Here is a 22,595-nt window from a genome sequence, read left to right on the forward strand (position 1 = left end):
AAACATAAAGTGTCTTGGTATAGACAAGGGTTCTCCCACTTTACATGATGGGAGCATTTTTGTAAAGCACTGAGAATCTTAAAGTTCACATGCCATAAATCTACTTTTATAGTTAAAATTTTTCAAAAGGAACACAAGAGATGGCTTTTTGTACATTTTTGTGCTTAACTTACCACTGACTCTTCTTTTCAAGGTCACTCTGGAATATAGACCCGTGATCGACAAAACTTTGAACGAGGCTGACTGTGCCACCGTCCCGCCAGCCATTCGCTCCTACTGATGAGACAAGATGTGGTGATGACAGAATCAGCTTTTGTAATTATGTATAATAGCTCATGCATGTGTCCATGTCATAACTGTCTTCATACGCTTCTGCACTCTGGGGAAGAAGGAGTACATTGAAGGGAGATTGGCACCTAGTGGCTGGGAGCTTGCCAGGAACCCAGTGGCCAGGGAGCGTGGCACTTACCTTTGTCCCTTGCTTCATTCTTGTGAGATGATAAAACTGGGCACAGCTCTTAAATAAAATATAAATGAACAAACTTTCTTTTATTTCCAAATCCATTTGAAATATTTTACTGTTGTGACTTTAGTCATATTTGTTGACCTAAAAATCAAATGTAATCTTTGTATTGTGTTACATCAAAATCCAGATATTTTGTATAGTTTCTTTTTTCTTTTTCTTTTCTTTTTTTTTTTTGAGACAGGATCGGTGCAGTAGTACAATCACAGCTCACTGCAGCCTCAAACTCCTGGGCAGCTCAGGTGATCTTCCTGACTCAGCCTTCTGAGTAGTTGGGGCTACAGGTGTGCACCACCATGCCCAGCTCATTTATTTTGTAATTGTAGGGACAGGGTCTCACTGTGTTGCCTAGGCTGGTCTCAAGTGATCCTCCCTCCTTGGCCTCCCAAGGTGCTGGAATTATAGGTGTGAACAAACCACCATGCCTGGCCTTGTAGTTTATTTCTAAGTTCAAATTAATGTTGGTGCCTGAGAACGAATGGAGAAAACTAACATTTCCTCCTTTTTCTTGGCAGACGGTTTACTAGGTGAGTGTGTCCTTGATTATTCAAATCAGGGGTCCCCAATCCCCAGGCCACAGATTGTTACCAGTCCATGGCCTGTTAGGAACCAGGCCGCACAGTAGGAGGTGAGCAGTGGGCCGGTGAGCTACTGTGTGAGCTCCACCCCCTGCCAGAGCATTACTGTGAACTCCGCCACCTGTCAGAGCATTACTGTGTGAGCTCCGCCCCCTGCCAGAGCATTACTCTGTGAACACCACCTGTCAGAGCATTACCGTGTGAGCTCCGCCTGCTGCCAGAGCATTACTCTGTGAGCTCCGCCTCCTGTCAGAGCGTTACCGTGAGCTCCGCCCCCTGTTGGAGCATTACTGTGTGAGCTCCGCGCCCTGCCAGAGCATTACTGTGTGAGCTCCGCCCCTGCCAGAGCATTACCTTGTGAGCTCCACCCCCTGCCAGAGCATTACTGGGTGAGCTCCACCCCCTGCCAGAGCATTACTGGGTGAGCTCCACCCCCTGCCAGAGCATTACTGTGAGCTCCGCCTCCCGACAGCATTACCGTGTGAGCTCCGCGCCCTGCCAGAGCATTACTGTGTGAGCTCCGCCCCTGCCAGAGCATTACCTTGTGAGCTCCACCCCCTGCCAGAGCATTACTGGGTGAGCTCCACCCCCTGCCAGAGCATTACTGTGTGAGCTCCGCCTCCTGCCATAGCATTACTGTGAGCTCCGCCTCCCGACAGCATTACCGTGTGAGCTCCGCCCCCGTTAGAGCATTACTGTGTGAGCTCCACCCCCTGCCAGAGCATTACTGGGTGAGCTCCGCCCCTGCCAGAGCATTACCTTGTGAGCTCCACCCCCTGCCAGAGCATTACTGGGTGAGCTCCACCCCCTGCCAGAGCATTACTGTGTGAGCTCCGCCTCCTGCCATAGCATTACTGTGAGCTCCGCCTCCCGACAGCATTACCGTGTGAGCTCCGCCCCCGTTAGAGCATTACTGTGTGAGCTCCACCCCCTGCCAGAGCATTACTGGGTGAGCTCCACCCCCTGCCAGAGCATTACCGTGAGCTCCGCCCCCTGTCAGAGCATTACTGTGAGCTCCGCCCCATGTTAGAGCATTACTATGTGAGCTCCGCCCCCTGCCAGAGCATTACTGTGAGCTCCGCCCCCCTGTCAGAGCATTAGTGTGTGAGCTCCTCCTCCTGTCAGAGCCTTACCGTGAGCTCCGCCCCCTGCCAGAGCATTACCGTTTGAGCTCCGCCTCCTGTCAGAGCATTACTGTGAGCTCCATCTCTTGTCAGAGCATTACCGTGTGAGCTCCACCCCCTGCCAGAGCATTACCGTGTGAGCTCCGCCCCCTGCCAGAGCATTACTGTGAGCTCCTTCTCCTCTCAGAGCCTTGCCGTGAGCTCCGCCCCCCGCCAGAGCATTACCGTGTGAGCTCCGCCTCCTGCCAGAGCATTACCGTGTGAGCTCCGCCTCCCGCCAGAGCATTACCGTGTGAGCTCCGCCTCCTGTCACAGCATTACCGTGTGAGCTCCGCCTCCCGCCAGAGCATTACCGTGTGAGCTCCGCCTCCCGTCCGAGCATTACCGTGTGAGCTCCGCCCCCCGCCACAGCATTACCGTGTGAGCTCCGCCTCCCGTCACAGCATTACCGTGTGAGCTCCGCCCCCTGCCAGAGCATTACTGTGAGCTCCTTCTCCTCTCAGAGCCTTGCCGTGAGCTCCGCCCTCCGCCAGAGCATTACCGTGTGAGCTCCGCCTCCCGTCCGAGCATTACCGTGTGAGCTCCGCCTCCCGTCCGAGCATTACCGTGTGAGCTCCGCCTCCCGTCACAGCATTACCGTGTGAGCTCCGCCTCCCGCCAGAGCATTACCGTGTGAGCTCCGCCTCCCGCCACAGCATTACCGTGTGAGCTCCGCCTCCCGTCAGAGCATTACCGTGTGAGCTCCGCCTCCCGTCCGAGCATTACCGTGTGAGCTCCGCCTCCCGTCACAGCATTACCGTGTGAGCTCCGCCTCCCGTCAGAGCATTACCGTGTGAGCTCCGCCTCCCGTCCGAGCATTACCGTGTGAGCTCCGCCTCCCGTCACAGCATTACCGTGTGAGCTCCGCCTCCCGCCAGAGCATTACCGTGTGAGCTCCGCCCCCCGCCAGAGCATTACCGTGTGAGCTCCGCCCCCCGCCAGAGCATTACCGTGTGAGCTCCGCCCCCCGCCACAGCATTACCGTGTGAGCTCCGCCTCCCGTCACAGCATTACCGTGTGAGCTCCGCCTCCCGACAGAGCATTACCGTGTGAGCTCCGCCTCCTGCCAGAGCATTACCGTGTGAGCTCCGCCTCCTGTCACAGCATTACCGTGTGAGCTCCGCCTCCCGCCAGAGCATTACCGTGTGAGCTCCGCCTCCCGTCACAGCATTACCGTGTGAGCTCCGCCTCCCGCCAGAGCATTACCGTGTGAGCTCCGCCTCCCGTCCGAGCATTACCGTGTGAGCTCCGCCTCCCGCCAGAGCATTACCGTGTGAGCTCCGCCCCCCGCCACAGCATTACCGTGTGAGCTCCGCCTCCCGTCCGAGCATTACCGTGTGAGCTCCGCCTCCCGTCCGAGCATTACCGTGTGAGCTCCGCCTCCCGCCAGAGCATTACCGTGTGAGCTCCGCCTCCCGTCCGAGCATTACCGTGTGAGCTCCGCCTCCCGTCACAGCATTACCGTGTGAGCTCCGCCTCCCGTCACAGCATTACCGTGTGAGCTCCGCCTCCCGTCAGAGCATTACCGTGTGAGCTCCGCCTCCCGCCAGAGCATTACCGTGTGAGCTCCGCCTCCCGCCAGAGCATTACCGTGTGAGCTCCGCCTCCCCACAGAGCATTACCGTGTGAGCTCCGCCTCCCGGCAGAGCATTACCGTGTGAGCTCCGCCTCCCGTCAGAGCATTACCGTGTGAGCTCCGCCTCCCGTCAGAGCATTACCGTGTGAGCTCCGCCTCCCGTCAGAGCATTACCGTGTGAGCTCCGCCTCCCGTCAGAGCATTACCGTGTGAGCTCCGCCTCCGTCAGAGCATTACCGTGTGAGCTCCGCCTCCCGCCAGAGCATTACCGTGTGAGCTCCGCCTCCCGTCACAGCATTACCGTGTGAGCTCCGCCTCCCGCCAGAGCATTACCGTGTGAGCTCCGCCTCCCGTCAGAGCATTACCGTGTGAGCTCCGCCTCCCGCCAGAGCATTACCGTGTGAGCTCCGCCTCCCGACAGAGCATTACCGTGTGAGCTCCGCCTCCCGCCAGAGCATTACCGTGTGAGCTCCGCCTCCCGTCACAGCATTACCGTGTGAGCTCCGCCTCCCGTCACAGCATTACCGTGTGAGCTCCGCCTCCCGTCACAGCATTACCGTGTGAGCTCCGCCTCCCGTCACAGCATTACCGTGTGAGCTCCGCCTCCCGTCACAGCATTACCGTGTGAGCTCCGCCTCCCGTCAGAGCATTACCGTGTGAGCTCCGCCTCCCGTCAGAGCATTACCGTGTGAGCTCCGCCTCCCGCCAGAGCATTACCGTGTGAGCTCCGCCTCCCGACAGAGCATTACCGTGTGAGCTCCGCCTCCCGTCACAGCATTACCGTGTGAGCTCCGCCTCCCGACAGAGCATTACCGTGTGAGCTCCGCCTCCTGCCAGAGCATTACCGTGTGAGCTCCGCCTCCCGCCAGAGCATTACCGTGTGAGCTCCGCCTCCCGTCCGAGCATTACCGTGTGAGCTCCGCCTCCCGCCAGAGCATTACCGTGTGAGCTCCGCCCCCCGCCACAGCATTACCGTGTGAGCTCCGCCTCCCGTCCGAGCATTACCGTGTGAGCTCCGCCTCCCGTCAGAGCATTACCGTGTGAGCTCCGCCTCCCGCCAGAGCATTACCGTGTGAGCTCCGCCTCCCGTCCGAGCATTACCGTGTGAGCTCCGCCTCCCGTCACAGCATTACCGTGTGAGCTCCGCCTCCCGTCACAGCATTACCGTGTGAGCTCCGCCTCCCGTCACAGCATTACCGTGTGAGCTCCGCCTCCCGTCAGAGCATTACCGTGTGAGCTCCGCCTCCCGTCACAGCATTACCGTGTGAGCTCCGCCTCCCGTCACAGCATTACCGTGTGAGCTCCGCCTCCCCGCAGAGCATTACCGTGTGAGCTCCGCCTCCCGGCAGAGCATTACCGTGTGAGCTCCGCCTCCCGGCAGAGCATTACCGTGTGAGCTCCGCCTCCCGGCAGAGCATTACCGTGTGAGCTCCGCCTCCCGTCAGAGCATTACCGTGTGAGCTCCGCCTCCCGGCAGAGCATTACCGTGTGAGCTCCGCCTCCCGCCAGAGCATTACCGTGTGAGCTCCGCCTCCCGTCACAGCATTACCGTGTGAGCTCCGCCTCCCGTCAGAGCATTACCGTGTGAGCTCCGCCTCCCGCCAGAGCATTACCGTGTGAGCTCCGCCTCCCGTCACAGCATTACCGTGTGAGCTCCGCCTCCCCACAGAGCATTACCGTGTGAGCTCCGCCTCCCGTCACAGCATTACCGTGTGAGCTCCGCCTCCCGGCAGAGCATTACCGTGTGAGCTCCGCCTCCCGGCAGAGCATTACCGTGTGAGCTCCGCCCCCCGCCAGAGCATTACCGTGTGAGCTCCGCCCCCCGACAGAGCATTACCGTGTGAGCTCCGCCCTCCCGTCAGAGCATTACCGTGTGAGCTCCGCCTCCCGTCAGAGCATTACCGTGTGAGCTCCGCCTCCCGTCACAGCATTACCGTGTGAGCTCCGCCTCCCGTCACAGCATTACCGTGTGAGCTCCGCCTCCCGTCACAGCATTACCGTGTGAGCTCCGCCTCCCGTCACAGCATTACCGTGTGAGCTCCGCCTCCCGTCACAGCATTACCGTGTGAGCTCCGCCTCCCGTCACAGCATTACCGTGTGAGCTCCGCCTCCCGTCACAGCATTACCGTGTGAGCTCCGCCTCCCGGCAGAGCATTACCGTGTGAGCTCCGCCTCCCGTCAGAGCATTACCGTGTGAGCTCCGCCTCCCGCCAGAGCATTACCGTGTGAGCTCCGCCTCCCGACAGAGCATTACCGTGTGAGCTCCGCCTCCCGTCACAGCATTACCGTGTGAGCTCCGCCTCCCGACAGAGCATTACCGTGTGAGCTCCGCCTCCCGTCAGAGCATTACCGTGTGAGCTCCGCCTCCCGGCAGAGCATTACCGTGTGAGCTCCGCCTCCTGTCCAAGCATTACTGTGTGAGATCCGCCCCCTGTCATATCATTACTGGGCGAGCTCCGCCTCCTGCCAGATCAGTGGTGGCATTAGATTCTCATAGGAGTGGAACCCTGTTGTGAACTGCACATGCGAAGGATCTAGGTTATGCGCCGCTTATGAAAATCTAATGCTGATGATCTGAGATGGAACCGTTTCATCTCCAAACCATCCCCACCATCCCCACACTTGTCCGTGGAAAAAGTGTCTTCCATGAAACCAGTCCCTGGTGCCAACAAGGTTAGGGACCACCAGTTTAAATAACCAAATACTAAAAGAACTGGCATAGAAGTAAATGGGCTGCTGCTTTATTTTTAGGCTGTTCTTTTTAGAGAACAATGACAATTATTTCCAAGTTTGTCATTAGAAAGTAATATTAGGTTGGTGCAAAAGTAATTGCAGTTTTTGCCATTACTTTCAATGGTAAAAGCCACGATTACTTTTGCACCAACTTAATATGATAAATTTGTTCCTTAAAGTGTATTTTTGGTAAGAAAAACCTTTTGTTTTTCCTTATATTAATTTTTTGTTTTTTTTCTTGGTAGAGACAGAGTCTTGCCATGCTGCCCAGGCTGGAGTGCAGTGCTGTGATCTCGGCTCACTGCAACCTCCACCTCCGGGGCTCCAGCAATCCTCCCACCTCAGCCTCCCAAGGAGCTGAGACTACAGGTGTGAGCCACCATGCCTGGCTAATTTTTATATTTTTTACAGAGACAGGGTTTCACCATCTTGCCCAGGCTGGTCTCAAACTCCTGGGCTCAAGCAGTCCTCCTGCCTCAGCCTCCCAGAGTATTGGGATTATAGGTGTGAGCCACTGCCAGAAAAACTTTTCCTAAGACAAGGCAGGTTTTACATTATATTTAGATTTTTTTTTTAATGATGTCTTTTTTGGCAGTGCACAGCCAGAGAACAACACATCACACACAGGAAACAGTTGTGCTCATGTGATGGGGGCCTCAGCACTAGGAAGGAGCGGACTATTGGTGCACGCAGCAGCTTGAATAAATCTGAAAGTCACTATGCTGTGTAAGAGAAGCCAAATTTTAAAAGTGCATACTGTGTACAGAGGGTGTCGAGAATGCCTCCTACGTGACGGAAAGCAGATCCGTGGTTCCCTGCAGACTGGCAGGAGCAGATTCCAAAGGCACAGGAAGAAGCTTGTGGGTAGAGTGTGTTCATTATCTTCTGTGCATTACACCATAAAAAAGCTGGTCATAAAAATGCGAACCAAAAACAAAGGTGAAACTAGGATAAAATTTCTCACCTGTGTGATTGGTAAATGTGCAGGTTTGACATCATGCTTTGTTTATGAAGCTGTGGGATACAAGGACTCTCATACGTCACTGTGGAATGCAGAACATTGCAACCTCATGGAAGAGGATTTGGCAGCATCTAACAAAAGTATGTGGCATTTGCCCTTTGACTCAGCAATTCTAGACTGCCTCAAAAAAAACTCTGGCAAAAAAATGAAAGGACTTTACTCACAGAGTTCTTTTCACGCCTAAATATGTTTGCAACCAAGTTCTTCACTGTGGCATTTGTAAAACTGGAAACAATCAAAATGTCCATCAGTAGGGGATTAGGAACATTAATTCGTACAGTGGGGAACTCAGTACCAGAAGGAGGGATGAGGAAGACCTATTGATAAGGGGCAGAGTACATATCATATAATGCAAATATATATTTGCTTTTTCTTAAAACAGTACAAAGATAAAAAACTAAAGTGGTTGCTGTGGAGGACAGGGGTCAATGGTGGAAGTGAGACTGAAATAGACTCTGAAGTAATATCTGGACTTTGAAATTATAAGTGTTTTACATATTACCAAACTAAGTTTTAAGATAGTCCCTAAAATTGAAAGAATAGTATCTGAAATGAATGAATCTAAATTCCTTGGATTGTCTTCTGCAGGTGCCAACCCTGAGACCAAAATTTGGAAGGTGGCCCTGAGCAGCAGCTGAAGGGAAGCGGGAGGTAAGACAGGAAAGAGGTGAGGGCACAGGGTGTCTGGGAGCCGGATCCCACGTGGGCAGCTGGGCCCGTGCTCATTGTGGGAGCTGGTGCATTCCTTCACCAGCCCACGCTCCACAGGGTCAGGATGGTCAATTCCGGGCACCCCGGCCTAATCCAGGACATGCTCCTGCCACCAGAGAAAGCCCCTAGGCAGCATCCCGGGTGCTGGTGGTGTCAGAATCAAGTTTGAGTCTGAGGAGTGACCTGGGGCTGGCTGGGCTAGGCAGCATCACAGGGTTCTGCAGCCCAACTGCACATCAGGCTGGTGACAGTCACACAGCCTATTACTTCGTGTGTCATCAGAGCATCGCCAGAACGCAGCACTTCAAGTATGCAGATTTAGTGAGCCATAGTTTAAAGACAAATAGAGCCACTGAAATCCTAAATTTCAATCAATCATCTCCTTGTTACTTGTCTTATTGGTATTAAGCCTTTGAAATTATCTGGGGTGGGAGTTAAAACTATAACTAATTATGTTAATGCTAAAACTAAGATTTTTCTGGCCAGGTGCGGTGGCTCACACCTGTAATCCCAGCACTTTGGGAGGCCGAGGTGGACAGATCACCTGAGGCCAGGAGTTTAAGACCAGCCTTGCCAACATGGTGAAACCCCATCTCTACTAAAATTCAAAAATTAGCTGGGCATGGTGGCAGGTGCCTGTAATCCCAGCTATTCAGGAGGCTGAGGCAGGAGAATCTCTTGAACCAGGAGGCGGAGGTTGCAGTGAGCCTAGATTGTGCCACTGCACTCTAGCCTGGGCAACAGGAACAAAACTCCATCTCAAAAAATAAAAAAAGATTTTTCTGAGAAAAAGGTGTAAAACCATATACTAAATTTGAAATAGAAATATAAGCATTAACTCTGTTGTTCCTTTCACATAGACACATTTCCTAGCTCTGCCCCAGGAGCAGTAGGCACATGAAGCACCTAGACTTGGTCTCTAATACATGAAAACCATGAATTCATAGTGATGGTTTCAAAGCCAAAACCAACCAACCAAACACATGTAATTGGTCACTCTTGGAGGTACCTAGGGCACTAACTCCTAACACTGGGAGTGGACACTTGAGGGAAGATCAGCGATTATCCCACCTTCTGTCTACAAATTGCAATCAGGGAAACCTTGCTGATTAGGAAAAGTTCTTTACAGAAGAATTCCTGCAAATAAGTGAGTAAAGAATGACAGTTTAAGAATTGTCCCAGCCTGGCCAACATAGTGAAACCCCATCTCTAAAAATACAAAACATTAGCCAGGCATGATGGTGGGTGCATGTAATCCCAGTTACTCAGGAGGCTGAGGCAGGAGAGTTGCTTGAACCCGGGAGGCGGAGGTTGCAGTGAGCCAAGAGTGCGCCATTGCACTCCAGCCTGGGCAACAAGAGCGAGATTCTGTCTCAAAAAAAAAAAAAGAGTTGTCAAATTGCCACCCCAATGCTGTGGTTCTCTAACCTGTGTAACAGGATCACCTGGAGGGACCCTACCCGAGACCTTCCGATTCAGTCCTGGGGGAACCCTACCCCAGATCTTCCGATTCAGTCCTGGGGGGACCCTACCCCAGATCTTCCGATTCAGTCCTGGGGGAACCCCACCCCAGACCTTCCGATTCAGTCCTGGAGGGACCCTACCCCAGATCTTCCGGTTCAGTCCTGGTTCGGCCTGAGAATTTGCATTTCTAACATGTCCAGGGACCACAGTTTGAAAACCTCCACAGCTGACATGTAATGGGATGACTTGGTCCAATAAATGAAGGAAAAGTAACAGGTGGCAACCTCAGGCAGCTTCATCCCAACCAGTAAGAAAGTAAATCCTTTTGTAAACTAAGAGGAAGTATTAATATGGGCGTTTGAGCAAACATTTAAGTGTTAGGACAAAGAATTAAAAACTAGCACAGGCACCCCTGAAGCATGATAGGATGGCAACAGAAGGGCTGATTTAGTTTCCAAGAAATAACTGACAGGCAGTGTTGTGTGTGTGTCTACTGCTTAGGAACCCAAAACAAACCTTCAGACCATTTTCATGAGTACTGAGACCAGGAAAACCACTGGGCAGTGGGTGGTCTGGAAATGTAAATGTTTATAGTACTCCATGGAGTACTATATGAGTCATGGAACGATGTTTCATATTGAAAATGTTTTATAAATGTGGGTTTCAAGGTTTTAAAGTGAACCCATGTGTGTGAGGAGAAAGGACACACCAAAGAAGTAAAATAATTGGGTCAATATAAAAAGAAAGTAGAATATTGCCCAGAGAGGAGATGTGGATAATTCCTAACACGGATCAAAGGTGAGCTGTGTCTAAGACAGTCAGACCTGCACCGTCCCGTGCAGTAGACACCGTGGCCGCTGTGTCTGAGATATTCAGACCCTCGCCGTCCCGTGCAGTAGACACGGTGGCCGCTGTCTGTAAGATATTCAGACCCTCGCCGTCCCGTGCAGTAGACACGGTGGCCGCTGTGTCTAAAATATTCAGTCCCGTGCAGTAGACACGGTGGCCGCTGTGTCTAAGATATTCAGACCTGCACCATCCTGAGCAGTAGCCACAGTGGCAAGTAGCCTCTGCACTGGACAGTGCAGCTACAGAATGATGCTATCACTAGAAAGTTCCATCAGCCAGCACTGATGCAGACCTTTGCAAATGCCCCTCACACTGAATAGCACCTAGCTGATAGATTGTCCACTACTCAGTGAAAAGCCTGTGTTAAAAGCAGTATTTGGTAGAAAAGCAAAAAAGGGGAAAAAATTAAAAGTGGTAAGTCATTGTCTTCCTTACTGAATTCTAGCAGAAGAATGTTGGAAGGAAGATGGGAGTCACGGGAGAAAGTATCATTGTCCCAGGACAGGAGGGGGTGCCAGGCATGGTTGGCTCTGTCCCTGGAATTCTATGGCGGGAATCTGGAAAAAGGAAAAGTGACTGGAGAAGAAAAGATTCTGTGTGCAAATGTCATGATGCAGCCATCAGTCATCCTGAGAAAATAAGCGAACAAAGTGGCTTCAGATGGATGCTGTTGGATACATGTACAGATACAATGTACACTTGCATATGCTTGTTCACACAAAGGACAGGATGGTTATCTGTTCATTTAACAAATACTTGTTGAGGGCCTATATGTGCCAAAGACATCAGATGCATAAGAGGGTGCACTATGGAAAGCCTCAGGAACACAAGTGCCCAGAAACATTTAGAAAAATTCTAATGAAAACAGAAAAGGCATTTTCAAATTAGCTGAGAGAAACGAGACCAAAGGAAAGACTGACCCAGTATTTGGATACATTATGTGATGAACCTTAATGCAGGGAGGAAAGTGTTATCTTTCAGTTAATTTCTCAACTTCTGGAGAGCTTAGAACAGACCTGGCTAGGAGGAAATTGAATCTGAGGCAGATGAGGAGATAGTGGTGCCTTGATGCTTCCAGTGATTGGGTCAGCAGAACCAGGGGTGGGAGATGATCTCTCTTTTTGTTGGCAGATGGTGGTCTCTGCTGTAGCTTTGTCCCCTGGTGACGGGACTCAGGCAGCAACCCCCATCATTGGCAATACCCCCACCTCTGAGAATGTGGAGAGGACTTGTGAAGACAATGTTGTCCCAAGCAGCACAGCCCAGGTACTGACAGGATTCAGAGCTAGAGGTTTCTTAGAGGTCAGGGTTGTAGAAGCAGCAGGGACTGCAGCTGCATAGTTTGTGTATGTAACAGGCTAGTATCTCTTGTTCTAGACTCATCCATTTGTACATTCATATGAGTATGCACGCAGGGTGTTTTTTCTTTCTTTTTTTTTTTTTGAGACGGAGTCTCACTCTGTTGCCCAGGCTGGAGTGCCTGGTGCAATCTCGGCTCACTGCAAGCTCCGCCTCCCGGGTTCACGCCATTCTCCTGCCTCAGCCTCCCAAGTAGCTGGGATTACAGGCACCTGCCACCACGTCTGGCTAATTTTTTGTATTTTTAGTAGAGACGAGGTTTCACCATGTTAGCCAGGATGGTCTTGATCCACCCGCCTCAGCCTCCCAAAGTGCTGGAATTACAGCTGTGAGCCACCGCGCCTGGCCAGGGTGTTTTTTCTTTAAACCTTAATTTCATAGTAATTAACCTCCCTTTCAAGAGTCAGCCTTGCTGCCCCTGAGATGATGCAGAAAAAGCACAAAAGGATCTGGGCTTGAATCTCCTCTTACTGCCTGCTTGGCTTTAGGCAAGTTACCTTCTCTGAACTCTAGTTTTCTCTTCAGTAAAATGTGGATATGGTGCCTTGGCATGGGGAGGATTAAACAAAGCCACATATTTAAATATTATAAGGGTGGATTATATTTAAATATTAAAAGGGTGGATTCTAGCTGGTTGCATTCATTAAGTGTGTCCTCTCTTGAATGAAGGCATTTTCTACCCCTAGAACTAAAGGGAAAGCATGACGGAGCACTCCTGGGTGCCATGGGTGATGATGGCTGTGGTACTCCAGGTTGGAGACTCGGCCAACAGTTGGTAGAGCCCAACTAACTGTTGGGAGTGGAGGCTGAGGCCTGCTGCAGTCACTGAGATGCTCCCCCTTTTAAAAAATTTTAAAATAGCCCAAGCTAGTCTTGAAGTTCTGGCCTCAAGTGATCCTCCCACCTCAGCCTCCCAAAGTACTGGGATTATAGACATGAGCCACTGCGTCTAGCACTGAGCTGTTTCTTGCTGAGGTTTCCCTGTAAGAACTTCCAAATTGGGTCACAAAATCATAGTTGTTAGTATTTTCAGAGTTCTGGAGAACAAAACAGGAGCCAGTGATGGGAGGGAGAATAAAGATGGACTTCAGAAACTACAGCTCAAAGAGCTGTGGAAGATTCTAGAAAGGATTCTTCAACAAGTGATATGAATACTTTGTCAATGAAAAGGCTGAACCTCTGTGAAATACTTGAAGAGATTTATTCTGAGCCAAATAGAGTGGCCACGCCCATGACACAGACCTCAGGAGGTGGCTGGGGTGCAACTTGGTTTTATGCATTTTAGAGGGTCGTGAGACATCAATCAAATCTATTCAAGATATACATTGGTTCAGTCCAGAAAGGCAGGACAACTCAAAGTGGGGGCTTCTGGGTTATAGGTAGATTTAAAAATGTTCTGATTGGCAATTAGTTGAGAGTTATTACCAATAGAAAGGAATGTCTGGGTTATAAGAGGTTGTGGAGACCAAAGTTTTATCAGCAGAAGAAGCCTTGGGGTAGCAGGCTTCAGAGAGAATAGATGGTGTTTCTCATTAGACTTAAGGTCTGTGTTGGCTTTCCCTGAATTCCAAAAGGGAGGAGGGCATAGTCAGCCATGTCCCACCCGCCCCCACTTCATGTCGTGGCCTGAACGGTTTTCAGGTTAATTTGGAGTGCCCTGGCCCAGAGAAGGGGTCCATTCAGATGGGGTGGGGCCTTAGAATTTTACTTTTGGTTTACAACTTTATGAAGAGACCATTAGAAACCACTTGAATTCACATCATGAAAAAAAATCCACACTGTAAAAAAGGTTTGTAGATTAACACATTAGGTGAATGCCAAAGCCACAGAATATCTAAATTTCTCTGAGGAATTTGAAAACTCTCAGGTATATGCCTTGTGGACAAGAGAGACAGAAAAATGGGACAGAGGATGAGATAGTTTGGAGAATGGATAGCTGATCAGATCTGTAGCTGTGCCCAGAGTGCTGAATAATGGATTTGCGTCCACAGGGAAGAAAGTCTCAGGTGCCACTGATAAAAGACCACGTCCTTGGCTCTGGGTCCATTCAACATCTTGGTAGACAACTGAGTGAAAATTCAGAGACAACCCTAGGAAGTATGAGGATGAAAAAAGTTAGCATTCATGGAATGAGGCACTGAAGAAACTGAAAAGCTGAAATAACCCCATGAAATAATGAGAATAATTGTAGTATTCTGAACCGGGGCACAGGACACAGGACCGGGGTGGAAGGCGGCACGAGACTACGCGCGTGGGAAAGACCCAGGGATCACAGTGGCCCAAAGCTGGGCACTTCCCAATTCCGGGATTTGTGCTACAGGCACTCCAGGCTCCACCTTAGAACTGTGTCCAGCACGAAGGCAGTGCTGTCTTGCGGGAGGCAGGGCTGCACCACCACCGGGGTGTGAAGGGGCCCAGCAGGCAGGGGTGTGAAGGGGCCCAGCAGTGTTTCCAGCTGCACGGGGTCAGGGGCCGCGCTGATGCAGAGCACGGGGGCGCAGGTTAAACCTAAAGGAGGGAAGCTTTTGGGGGCGGAACAGACAACCGAGAATGCTGCACACTGCCTTTCCCACCCGAATTGTGTTTTGACTTTTTTTTTTTTTTTTTTTTGAGACAGAGTTTTGCACTTGTTGCCCAGGCCTGGAGTGCAATGGCCCGATCTCGGATCACTGCAACCTCCTCCTCCCGGTTTCAAGCAATTCTCCTGCCTCAGCCTCCCGAGTAGCTGGGATTACAGGTGTGCACCATCACGCCCGGTTAGTTTTGTATTTTTAGTAGATACGGGGTGTCTCCCAATTGGCCAAGGCTGGTCTCGAACTCCCGACTTCAGGTAATCCACTGGCCTTGGCCTCCCAAAGTGCTGGGATTACAGGCGTGAGCCACCGCGCCCGGCCTGCTTTTGCTTTCTTTTTTTTTTTTTTTTTTTTGGCAGAGTCTCGCTGTCCACCCCTGTAGTGCAGTGAGCTCGGCTCCCTGCGGCCTTGACCTCCCGGGCTCAGGCAATCCTCCCGCCTCAGCCCACGGAGTAGATGGGACCACAGGAGCCCACCACGCCCGACTACTTTTTGTAATTTTTGTAGGGATGGGGTCTATCCATGCTGCCCAGGCTGGTCCGAACTGCTGGGCTCAAGAGCTCCGCCCGCCTCCGCCTCCCAAAGGGCAGGGATCACAGGTGTGAGCTACCGCGCCCCGCCCAGAGTTTCCGACTGTTAGCAAATCACATTCACCTCAAAACTATTTATACAAGAACTGAAAGGCAAACTAAGTCCGTGCTCCATCACTTCCTGTCCCAGGTCGCGGGGCCGGACATTTTCTCCAAGCGCTTTCCTGGCACAGCGCGCAGGCGGCCTGCGCCAAAGCTCTGGCTTCCTCCAGGCGCCCAGACCCCGCCCTCCCCGCAGGCGCCAGGGCGTTGCCTGGCAACTTAGCTGCGAGGGGATTGGCTGCGCGGGACCCCGTGACCATCCCGGAGACCACGCATTTCCTGCGCCCCCGGAAGTGGTGATAATGCCAGGCCCTGCCCCCGGCAGAGGCGGAAGCGGAGTCGGCCTGAGAGGTCTCTCGTCGCTGCAGGCGCCTCAGCCCAGCCGCGTGCCTTGGCCCATGGCCGCCTACTCTTACCGCCCCGGCCCTGGGGCCGGCCCTGGGCCTGCTGCAGGCGCGGCGCTGCCGGACCAGAGCTTCCTGTGGAACGTTTTCCAGAGGTGCGGCCTGGCACCGCCCGGGCACCTCCCGCCTCCGCCGCGGCGGCCCCGACCCCTGTCCCGACTCCCCCGACCAACCCCGTTCCCTGCCGGTTCTACTGCGGCCTCCTCCGTCCCCTGTCGGGTCCCCCGCGGCCCCCTCCCGTCCCCTGCCGCCGCCCCCGACCCCTGCCCCAGCCGACGCGGCCGCCCCCGTCCCCTGGCGGGTCCCCCGCGGTCTCCCCCGTCCGCTGCCCGGTCTCCTGGGGCCGCCCCTGCCTCCTGCCCGGTCCCTGTCCTGTGCGTCGGGCCCTTCCCAAGATGCAGAGTGCGCCACTGCAGACCCGAGGTCGCGGCCACCGGCTCCTGGGCTAGGCCCTTTTTCTCGCCTCAAGAGCCGCCAGGTGGAGGGTCTCCAGGGTGCTTGTTTGGGGAAAGCGGAAACAGACTGCCTGGGCGCTGTTAAAATGTCAGCAGCCAAGGAAGAAGCAGCGACCTGGCGTCTGCTCGGGCCAGGTGACCTTTATGGCGGCGCCTTCTGTCCCTGGTCGCTTTTCCACCGAATGTCCGAAACTGTAGTGACTGATGGCCAGGGAATGGCTTAGTTATCTGAGGGAATCTTGTCTTGTCTGTGAAAAAGGGAAACGGGTGCAAATGGGAATTCAGACAGGCCAGGAGAGGAAGGAAGGGAAGGATTGAGGTGAAGATGATTGTCCTCTTAGGGGAAGACCACACTGGACGTCGGCTCCTGGGGCACTTCCTTGATTCCGCTGTACTCCTCAGCGGGACGGGAGAGGCGGAGGTTCCAGGAGGGAGCCTTCCAGAGTCGGTGCAGGGTTGACAGAAGACGTTTGTTTTGCTTTTCCTGAACTTTCGATCGCCAGCTTATTTGGTCTTCTTGATGTTATAGGGTCGATAAAGACAGGAGTGGAGTGATATCAGACACCGAGCTTCAGCAAGCTCTCTCCAACGGTGAGTGGGCCAGTGGGAACTGGGTCTCCGGACCAAGAAGCCGCGAGCCTGCCCTGTTCACAGTGGATAACTTTCTGAAGTTGTTTTTCCAAGGACAAAGGAATCATTAGGACAAATTGTTATTACTGCTTCGTAGTGGAGATGCTTCTGGTTTATTTTGTGGCTACCGCTGTTACTGCTTGGAGTGCCTCACCGAGCCAGCTAACAACTGCGTGCGTGAGCACAGGGAAAGGCTTCTTGAGAAATGAAAACTAGATTGTAGGTTTAGGAGGGGAATAGGAAGCTTAGCTCTGTACAGCCGAAAGCCTTTTGGTAAGTTGGAGGTCCTTGAATTTCCTGGGTGACTGCATCTTGGTGACTTCTCTGAATAGACCTTCGAGGGCACTGGGGGGTGATTGTTGGAGGGCTTGGGGAGCTCAGGCAGCCCTTGTATGGGAATGTGGCTGTTACAGGAACTGCAGAAACTGGGACTGGGTTCCTGGGGAAAGGATTGGGGGTGTTGGAGGCGCTGGCCAGGGGATTATGGGGAGGTGTTCTTATCAGTGTGCGAATACTGGGCGTTCAGGCAGCGGGAAATCCGGGTCCTTGCGTGTTGTGAGCTCCCTGGAATTACGTTCTTGCCAGTTTCAGCTCAGTTGATCCCCCTCCCCTCCGCTATCATTGGACACATTTTACTTCATTGAAACCTGACTGCCACTTTTTCTGTAATCCCTCAGGGGCAGTCATCTTTTCTGATTCTGTGTATAGTTTGCTTTTCCAGATCCGTGCCATTTAAGCTAGAAAAGGGGTCAGTTTTGAGATGTTGTGAAAATGTTGAAAGGCTTCTTGTTATTAGTGGGAAGTATCTGAAGTTGCCAGAGACTGAACTGGGGCGCGGGGAGCACTACGGCTGCTAGACACTGCCTCACTGCGCTGTGGGTGGGGGGGTGCTGGATTCAGCCTTACTGCCTAATGATTTGTGAGGATTTGTGTTTTCAGAGTAACATTTTTACCTTATATTACGACATCAGTTCCTAATATGTGGCGTGTGGGCCACAGATGCTGGTGTATTATTTCACATGCATTTCTATAGATTGTTTTCAGGGAATTCAGAAATGCTGTTATCTCTACACTAGTGATTGTGCTTTCTTGGTTTTTCTCTTTTCATTATTCTTAAATCCTCGTTTTTTTTTTTTTTATTTGCATCTCAGTTCGTTTTTACTCGGGAAGTGCAAGACGTGGCTACTAGAAAGAGATGTCAAGAGAACCCGGAATCCAGTAGGCTACAATTTGGCAAATCTCAGCTTAAAACTTCCTAAATGTTGACCACAGTGGATGCAAATGGCTCTGTGCATCACCTGTTAAATATGGTCAGATGACCATCCAGGTTCAAGTGGTTTGTCACCAGGGTGATACAAGCCACACGGAGTGCCCTCCTCAGAGGCCATGTTTCAGAGACATTTATTTTGAGTGGTTTTCCAATGAGTGATGCAAGATTTATGATCCATTTTAACAGCCTGCTTTTTATGCATTTGCTCTAATTTTTAGATTTTAGGTTTAGTTTTAGGTTTTCTGTTAAACTTGCTCAAATAGGAGTGGTGGTCAAATACTGGACCGCATTAGTATGGTAGCCTGCCCACCTTGGCAGGCTCCACTGGAGTGCTTTGGGGCCTGCCTGGATTCCAGTCCTGGCTCTACCAGTTTTGTGTCCTCGCCGTTACTGGGAGGGAGTATTGAGGAAATGCATGCGAGGTGTTTCCGTGATTCCTGGCACGGAGCAAGTGCTCAGTAATTGTCAGCTGTGAGTATTAGTAGTAGCTAATACACTGGTACTATTCTTGGCTAACAAGCCAGCTCAAAGCTTTGATGGTTTTCCATTACCTGATGATGGTGATGATGGTTTCCACTTACTCAACACTCACACGCTGGGCTAGGCACTTAACCCAAATCCAAGGTCAGCATTATTGTTTGGGGGTGGGGGAGACACCTCCTGCTCTGACTTGTGTGTTTGGGTTCCTGTATTTTCACCAGAGGGAGTTAGTCCTGCCCCAGTTCAGCTGGTCCTCAAAGTGTATATAGCTCTTTAACCATCAGCAAGTGTCTATCAGAACATAATCTTGATTTCAGCTGCTACTAAATATCTACCAGGAGACTGCTTGAGAGAATTGCCTGATGGGTGCTGAGTCCACCATTCCTGAGATACTTTGAAATCAGTGGCTTAACCCAAGCTGTGTATCGGGACCCTCTCACCGTGGTCCCAATGGAGTCACTTTTCTTAGGCGCCCCCCTTTACCTTGGGCTCTGAGCTTCCTCTGCCTTTCATCTCTGTGGGATGAAGCCCCACCGCCCTTCAGGATGCAAAGCCCTCTTCTCTAATGTGAGTGCAGGGCCAGGTGCAGTGGCTCACGCCTGACCTCCCAACACTTTGGGAGGCCGAGGCAGGGGGATCCCTTGAGCCCAGGAGTTTGAGACCAGCCTGGGCGACACTGTGAGACCCTGTTGCCTGAATTGCCCTGGGAGATTTCCTCAGCTTGTGCTGGGGGCATGTGGCCCCATGAAGCCCGTAGTCACTGTTCACCCTGAGAGACGCTGGCTTTCGGGCTCACACACCTGCTGCGGGGCAGCCCCAGGAAATGGCCACCCCATTTCTCCTGGAGCTGCGCGTGTTCTCAGAAACTGTGGTGGCCGTTCTGTTTTGTTTGCATCTTATAAACGTTTACCTGATGACATTTTCCTCTTCAATTTAGCTGCTAGAAAATTTAAAGTCAGGTTGGTGGCTCACCAGTAATGAGAGTTTAGAGTAGAAGTAAACTTTATGACATAGTCTTAGACTCTTCACTTTCTTCTCAACCAATATGATTCACATTTACTTTATTTTGCTGTACCGTGAGTGTCTCTGTGTTTCCTGAATTCCTTCTGGAATAAGGCAGGTTGTTAGTAAGCACAGGTTTCTGGTCCATCTCACAGCCTCAGGCAGTGGGCATTGCTGTCGGTGCTCCCTTTCCGGGTTACCTGTGGTAGCTCTCAAGTTGCAGGGCTGCGATTTGAAGCCTGATTTAGTACACCGTGTTTCTGTTGTGTTCTGTGGTGGTTTGCTCCTCACATGTGAGCATTCACCGTGGCCCTGTGTTTTTCCACCACACCTCTGCCTGGTGGCATCCTACTGGATGTCTCAGCCGAGCCACTCTGTTCTGAAGATGCCCTTGTCCTCCACCCCTTTGCTTTGGGCTCTAAGCTTCTTCTGCCTTTCATCTCTGTAGGATGAAGCCCCACCCGCCCTTCAGGATGCCAGCCTTGGCAACATTGTGAGACCCTGTTTCTACAAAAAGTAAATGAGTGTAGTGGTGCACGCCTGTATTCCCAGCTACTTGGGAGGCTGAGATGGGAAGATCACTTGAGCCTGGGAGGTTGAGGCTGCATTGAGCTGAGATCAAGCCACGGCACTCCAGCCTGGGAGACAGAGCGAAACCCCATCTCAAAAAAACAAAGAAAGTGGATGCGCGCTGCTCCTGCCATTGGATCATCGCAGCATTTTTCTTTTCTCTGATATGCACCTTTTTCCTCATCGTGGGGGCTCACGTTTTCATAGTTCCCTCTCACTACTAGGTTGTGAGCTGCGTGAAGGAAGGTTCATAGTTGTGTTGTATGTACAGGCACACAAAATTTGTCCTTGGATAAACACATATCCTCTTCCTTCTTCTCTCTGAATTTCTTTATTTTAAGAAAAAAATTAGAGATGGAGTCTCACTGTCTTGCTCAGGCTGGTCTCAAACTCCTAGGCTCAAGTGATCCTCCTGCCTCAGCCTATACTAATATGAATTCCTATACTAATATGATTGAAATTAGTTTGATTTCTATAATAATTGTGCTCCCAGATTGGGCTTCTGTTTTGATAGTAGAACTAAATTATTAGGCTATTTCAAGAAATTAATATATTACTGGTAGAAAAACTGAAGCTACAAAATGGCCTGGTTTCTCACTTCAGTTAAATTTGTGCTTCTGAGTGCTTGTATTCTAGGTGAAACCACACTGAGAAGGTATTTGTGGCCCATACACTGATTCCTTCATGAGACTTGTTTGCACAGGAGAGCTGCTAAAAATTACTGCTCTCAGGGAGGTCTGTGGTGAACAGGTATGAAGAAGAAGACTGTTCTCTGCCCTTCTTTTTGCAATAAAATGTTCCAAACTATCTTGAGTTTGATCCCTTTTCGGGTGTTTGGGGTTTTTTTAACATTCACATATTTCTTGGAATTATAAGAAATTAACTTTGTGCTTCTGAAGTAGGTTTGCCTTAATATAACACTGATGTATTTGTAAGGGGCATTTTTAAAGCTGTACTTTAAAAAATAATAATTCTTACATTCGTTTGAAGGTTTTTTTATGTGTGTTTTTGAGACAGAGGCTTGCTCTATCGCCCAGGCTGGAGTGCAGTGGCACGCTCTTGGCTCACTACAACCTCCGCATCTGGGGTTCAAGCGATTCTCCTGCCTCAGCCTCCTGAGTAGCTGGGACTACAGGTGCCCACCACCACGCCCAGCTAATTTTTTGTATTTTTTTTTTTTTTTTTTTTTTGAGGCAGAGTCTCTGTCGCCTAGGCTGGAGTGCGGTGGCACTATCTTGGCTCACTGCAAGCTCCGCCTCCTGGGTTCATGCCATTCTCCTGCCTCAGCCTCCCGAGTAGCTGGGACTACAGGCACCCGCCACCATGCCTGGCTAATTTTTTGTCTTTTTAGTAGAGACGGGGTTTCACCGTGTCAGCCAGGATGGTCTCGATCTTATGACCTCATGATCCACCCGCCTCAGCCTCCCAAAGTGCTGGGATTACAGGCGTGAGCCACCACGCCCAGCAATTTTTTGTATTTTTAGTACAGACAGGGTTTCACCATGTTAGCTAGGATGGTCTTGATCTCCTGACCTCTTGATCTGCCCACCTCAGCCTCCCAAAGTGCTGGGATTACGGGCGTGAGCCAGGGGGCCAACATGGTGAAACCCTATCTCTACTAAAAATACAAAATTAGCCGGGAATGGTGGTGCGCGCCTATAATCCCAGCTACTCGGGAGGCTGAGGCGTGAGAATCACTTGAACCTGGGAGGCAGAGGTTGCAGTGAGCTGAGATAGCGCCACTGCACTCCAGCCTGGGGGGCAGTGAGACTCCATCTCAAAAAAAAAAAAAAAAAAGAATAGAATAACCCTTGTTTAGGTGTTAACAAAATCCAGGCCAGACAAATCTAAACTTTAATCTCATACCCAGTTCCTAGATGAGTCCCTTCTCCAGCTCAGGTTCCGCCTAAGCCTCAGGGTTCCTTACTTGGTGGGCACCACCTGCTCCCTTCCCCACCTTTGTCCTCTTTTTCCTCTGCTGGCTCCTCCGGGGTTGGGTGTGTTCAGAGGCAGAGACAGGCTAAAGGTCTTTGGCTTTTAGGTTCTGTTGGTGGGTGAGTTCCAGATATAGCTTTCTCTTGTAGGATATTTCATTTATTTATCTATTAAAAATATTTATTTAGAACACACCATTCATGTGCCAGACCCTGTCCAGGCACTGGGGATAGGGTGATAAATGAGATCAACAAAAATACCTGCCCACATTAAGCTCCTGTTCTAGGGAAGACAGAAAGAAAATACACGTGTCCTTAGTATATTAGAAGATTCCAAGTACTGTAGAGAAAAATAAAGCAGGCTGGACTCGGTGGCTCATGCTTGTAATCCCAGCACTTTGGGAGGCTGAGGTGGGAGGATTACTTGAGCTCAGGAATTTGAGACCAGCCTGGGCAACATGGCAGATCCTGTCTCTCCCAAAAAAAAAAAAAAAATTTAGCTGGGTATGGTGGCGTGCATCTGTAGTCCCAGCCACTGGGGAGGCTGAGGAGGGAGAATTGCTTCAGCCTAGGAGGTGAAGGTTGCAGTAAACCGAGATCGTGCCATTGCACTCCAGCCTGGGTGACAGAGCCAGACCCTGTCTCAAATAAAACAAAAGGAAAGAAAG

At 51.2% G+C, this 22,595-nt stretch overlaps 2 protein-coding genes and 2 long non-coding RNA genes across 16 annotated transcripts in view, besides 3 other annotated features; 3 read left to right on the top strand and 1 right to left on the bottom strand.

Moving 5' to 3' along the window:
• Window positions 1–12,606, top strand: part of SDHA (succinate dehydrogenase complex flavoprotein subunit A) — a 50,427-nt gene extending 37,821 nt beyond the window's left edge. For 3 of the 7 annotated variants that reach the window (XM_011514072.3, XM_011514073.3, XM_047417467.1), the window contains one exon: window positions 7,169–8,150. In XM_011514072.3, the coding sequence (XP_011512374.1) occupies window positions 7,169–7,303 (135 nt within the window). In that variant the 3' untranslated portion in view covers window positions 7,304–8,150. Of the gene's footprint in view, window positions 1–193; window positions 943–7,168; window positions 8,151–8,182 lie in introns of those variants that run through there. The other 4 variants (NM_004168.4, NM_001330758.2, NM_001294332.2 and 1 more) reach the window with 2 other exon arrangements.
• Window positions 12,607–13,415: 809 nt separating this feature from the next.
• Window positions 13,416–15,384, bottom strand: PDCD6-DT (PDCD6 divergent transcript). Its single transcript, NR_104613.1, has 2 exons — window positions 15,205–15,384; window positions 13,416–14,067 (listed from the first exon to the last, which is right to left on the bottom strand). It is a non-coding gene; the product is annotated as a PDCD6 divergent transcript (long non-coding RNA).
• Window positions 13,855–14,547: an enhancer, noted in NCBI's record as "H3K27ac-H3K4me1 hESC enhancer chr5:270110-270802 (GRCh37/hg19 assembly coordinates)". NCBI's record gives its function as "activates a minimal SCP1, AML or CMV promoter by ChIP-STARR-seq in naive H9 embryonic stem cells {active_cell/tissue: H9 hESC(naive)}" and the evidence as "EXISTENCE:reporter gene assay evidence [ECO:0000049][PMID:30033119]".
• Window positions 15,209–15,298: an enhancer, noted in NCBI's record as "active region_22271". NCBI's record gives its function as "activates an Ori minimal core promoter by ATAC-STARR-seq in GM12878 lymphoblastoid cells {active_cell/tissue: GM12878}" and the evidence as "EXISTENCE:reporter gene assay evidence [ECO:0000049][PMID:35858748]".
• Window positions 15,506–22,595, top strand: part of PDCD6-AHRR (PDCD6-AHRR readthrough (NMD candidate)) — a 166,640-nt gene continuing 159,550 nt past the window's right edge. For both annotated transcript variants that reach the window (NR_165159.2, NR_165163.2), the window contains exons 1-2: window positions 15,506–15,681; window positions 16,571–16,632. This is a non-coding gene — a long non-coding RNA (PDCD6-AHRR readthrough (NMD candidate)). The remainder of the gene's footprint in view (window positions 15,682–16,570; window positions 16,633–22,595) is intronic.
• PDCD6 (programmed cell death 6) overlaps window positions 15,506–22,595 on the top strand; it is a 43,329-nt gene continuing 36,239 nt past the window's right edge. For 4 of the 6 annotated variants that reach the window (NM_013232.4, NM_001267556.2, NM_001267559.2 and 1 more), the window contains exons 1-2: window positions 15,506–15,681; window positions 16,571–16,632. In NM_013232.4, coding sequence (NP_037364.1) covers window positions 15,581–15,681; window positions 16,571–16,632 — 163 coding nt within the window. In that variant the 5' untranslated portion in view covers window positions 15,506–15,580. Of the gene's footprint in view, window positions 15,682–16,570; window positions 16,633–19,871; window positions 20,801–22,595 lie in introns of those variants that run through there. The other 2 variants (NR_073609.2, NM_001267558.2) reach the window with 2 other exon arrangements.
• Window positions 15,589–15,798: a silencer, noted in NCBI's record as "silent region_15861". NCBI's record gives its function as "represses an Ori minimal core promoter by ATAC-STARR-seq in GM12878 lymphoblastoid cells {active_cell/tissue: GM12878}" and the evidence as "EXISTENCE:reporter gene assay evidence [ECO:0000049][PMID:35858748]".

The sequence above is a fragment of the Homo sapiens genome, chromosome 5 (genome assembly GCF_000001405.40).
Source record: "Homo sapiens chromosome 5, GRCh38.p14 Primary Assembly".
NCBI classification, from domain to species: domain Eukaryota; kingdom Metazoa; phylum Chordata; class Mammalia; order Primates; family Hominidae; genus Homo; species Homo sapiens.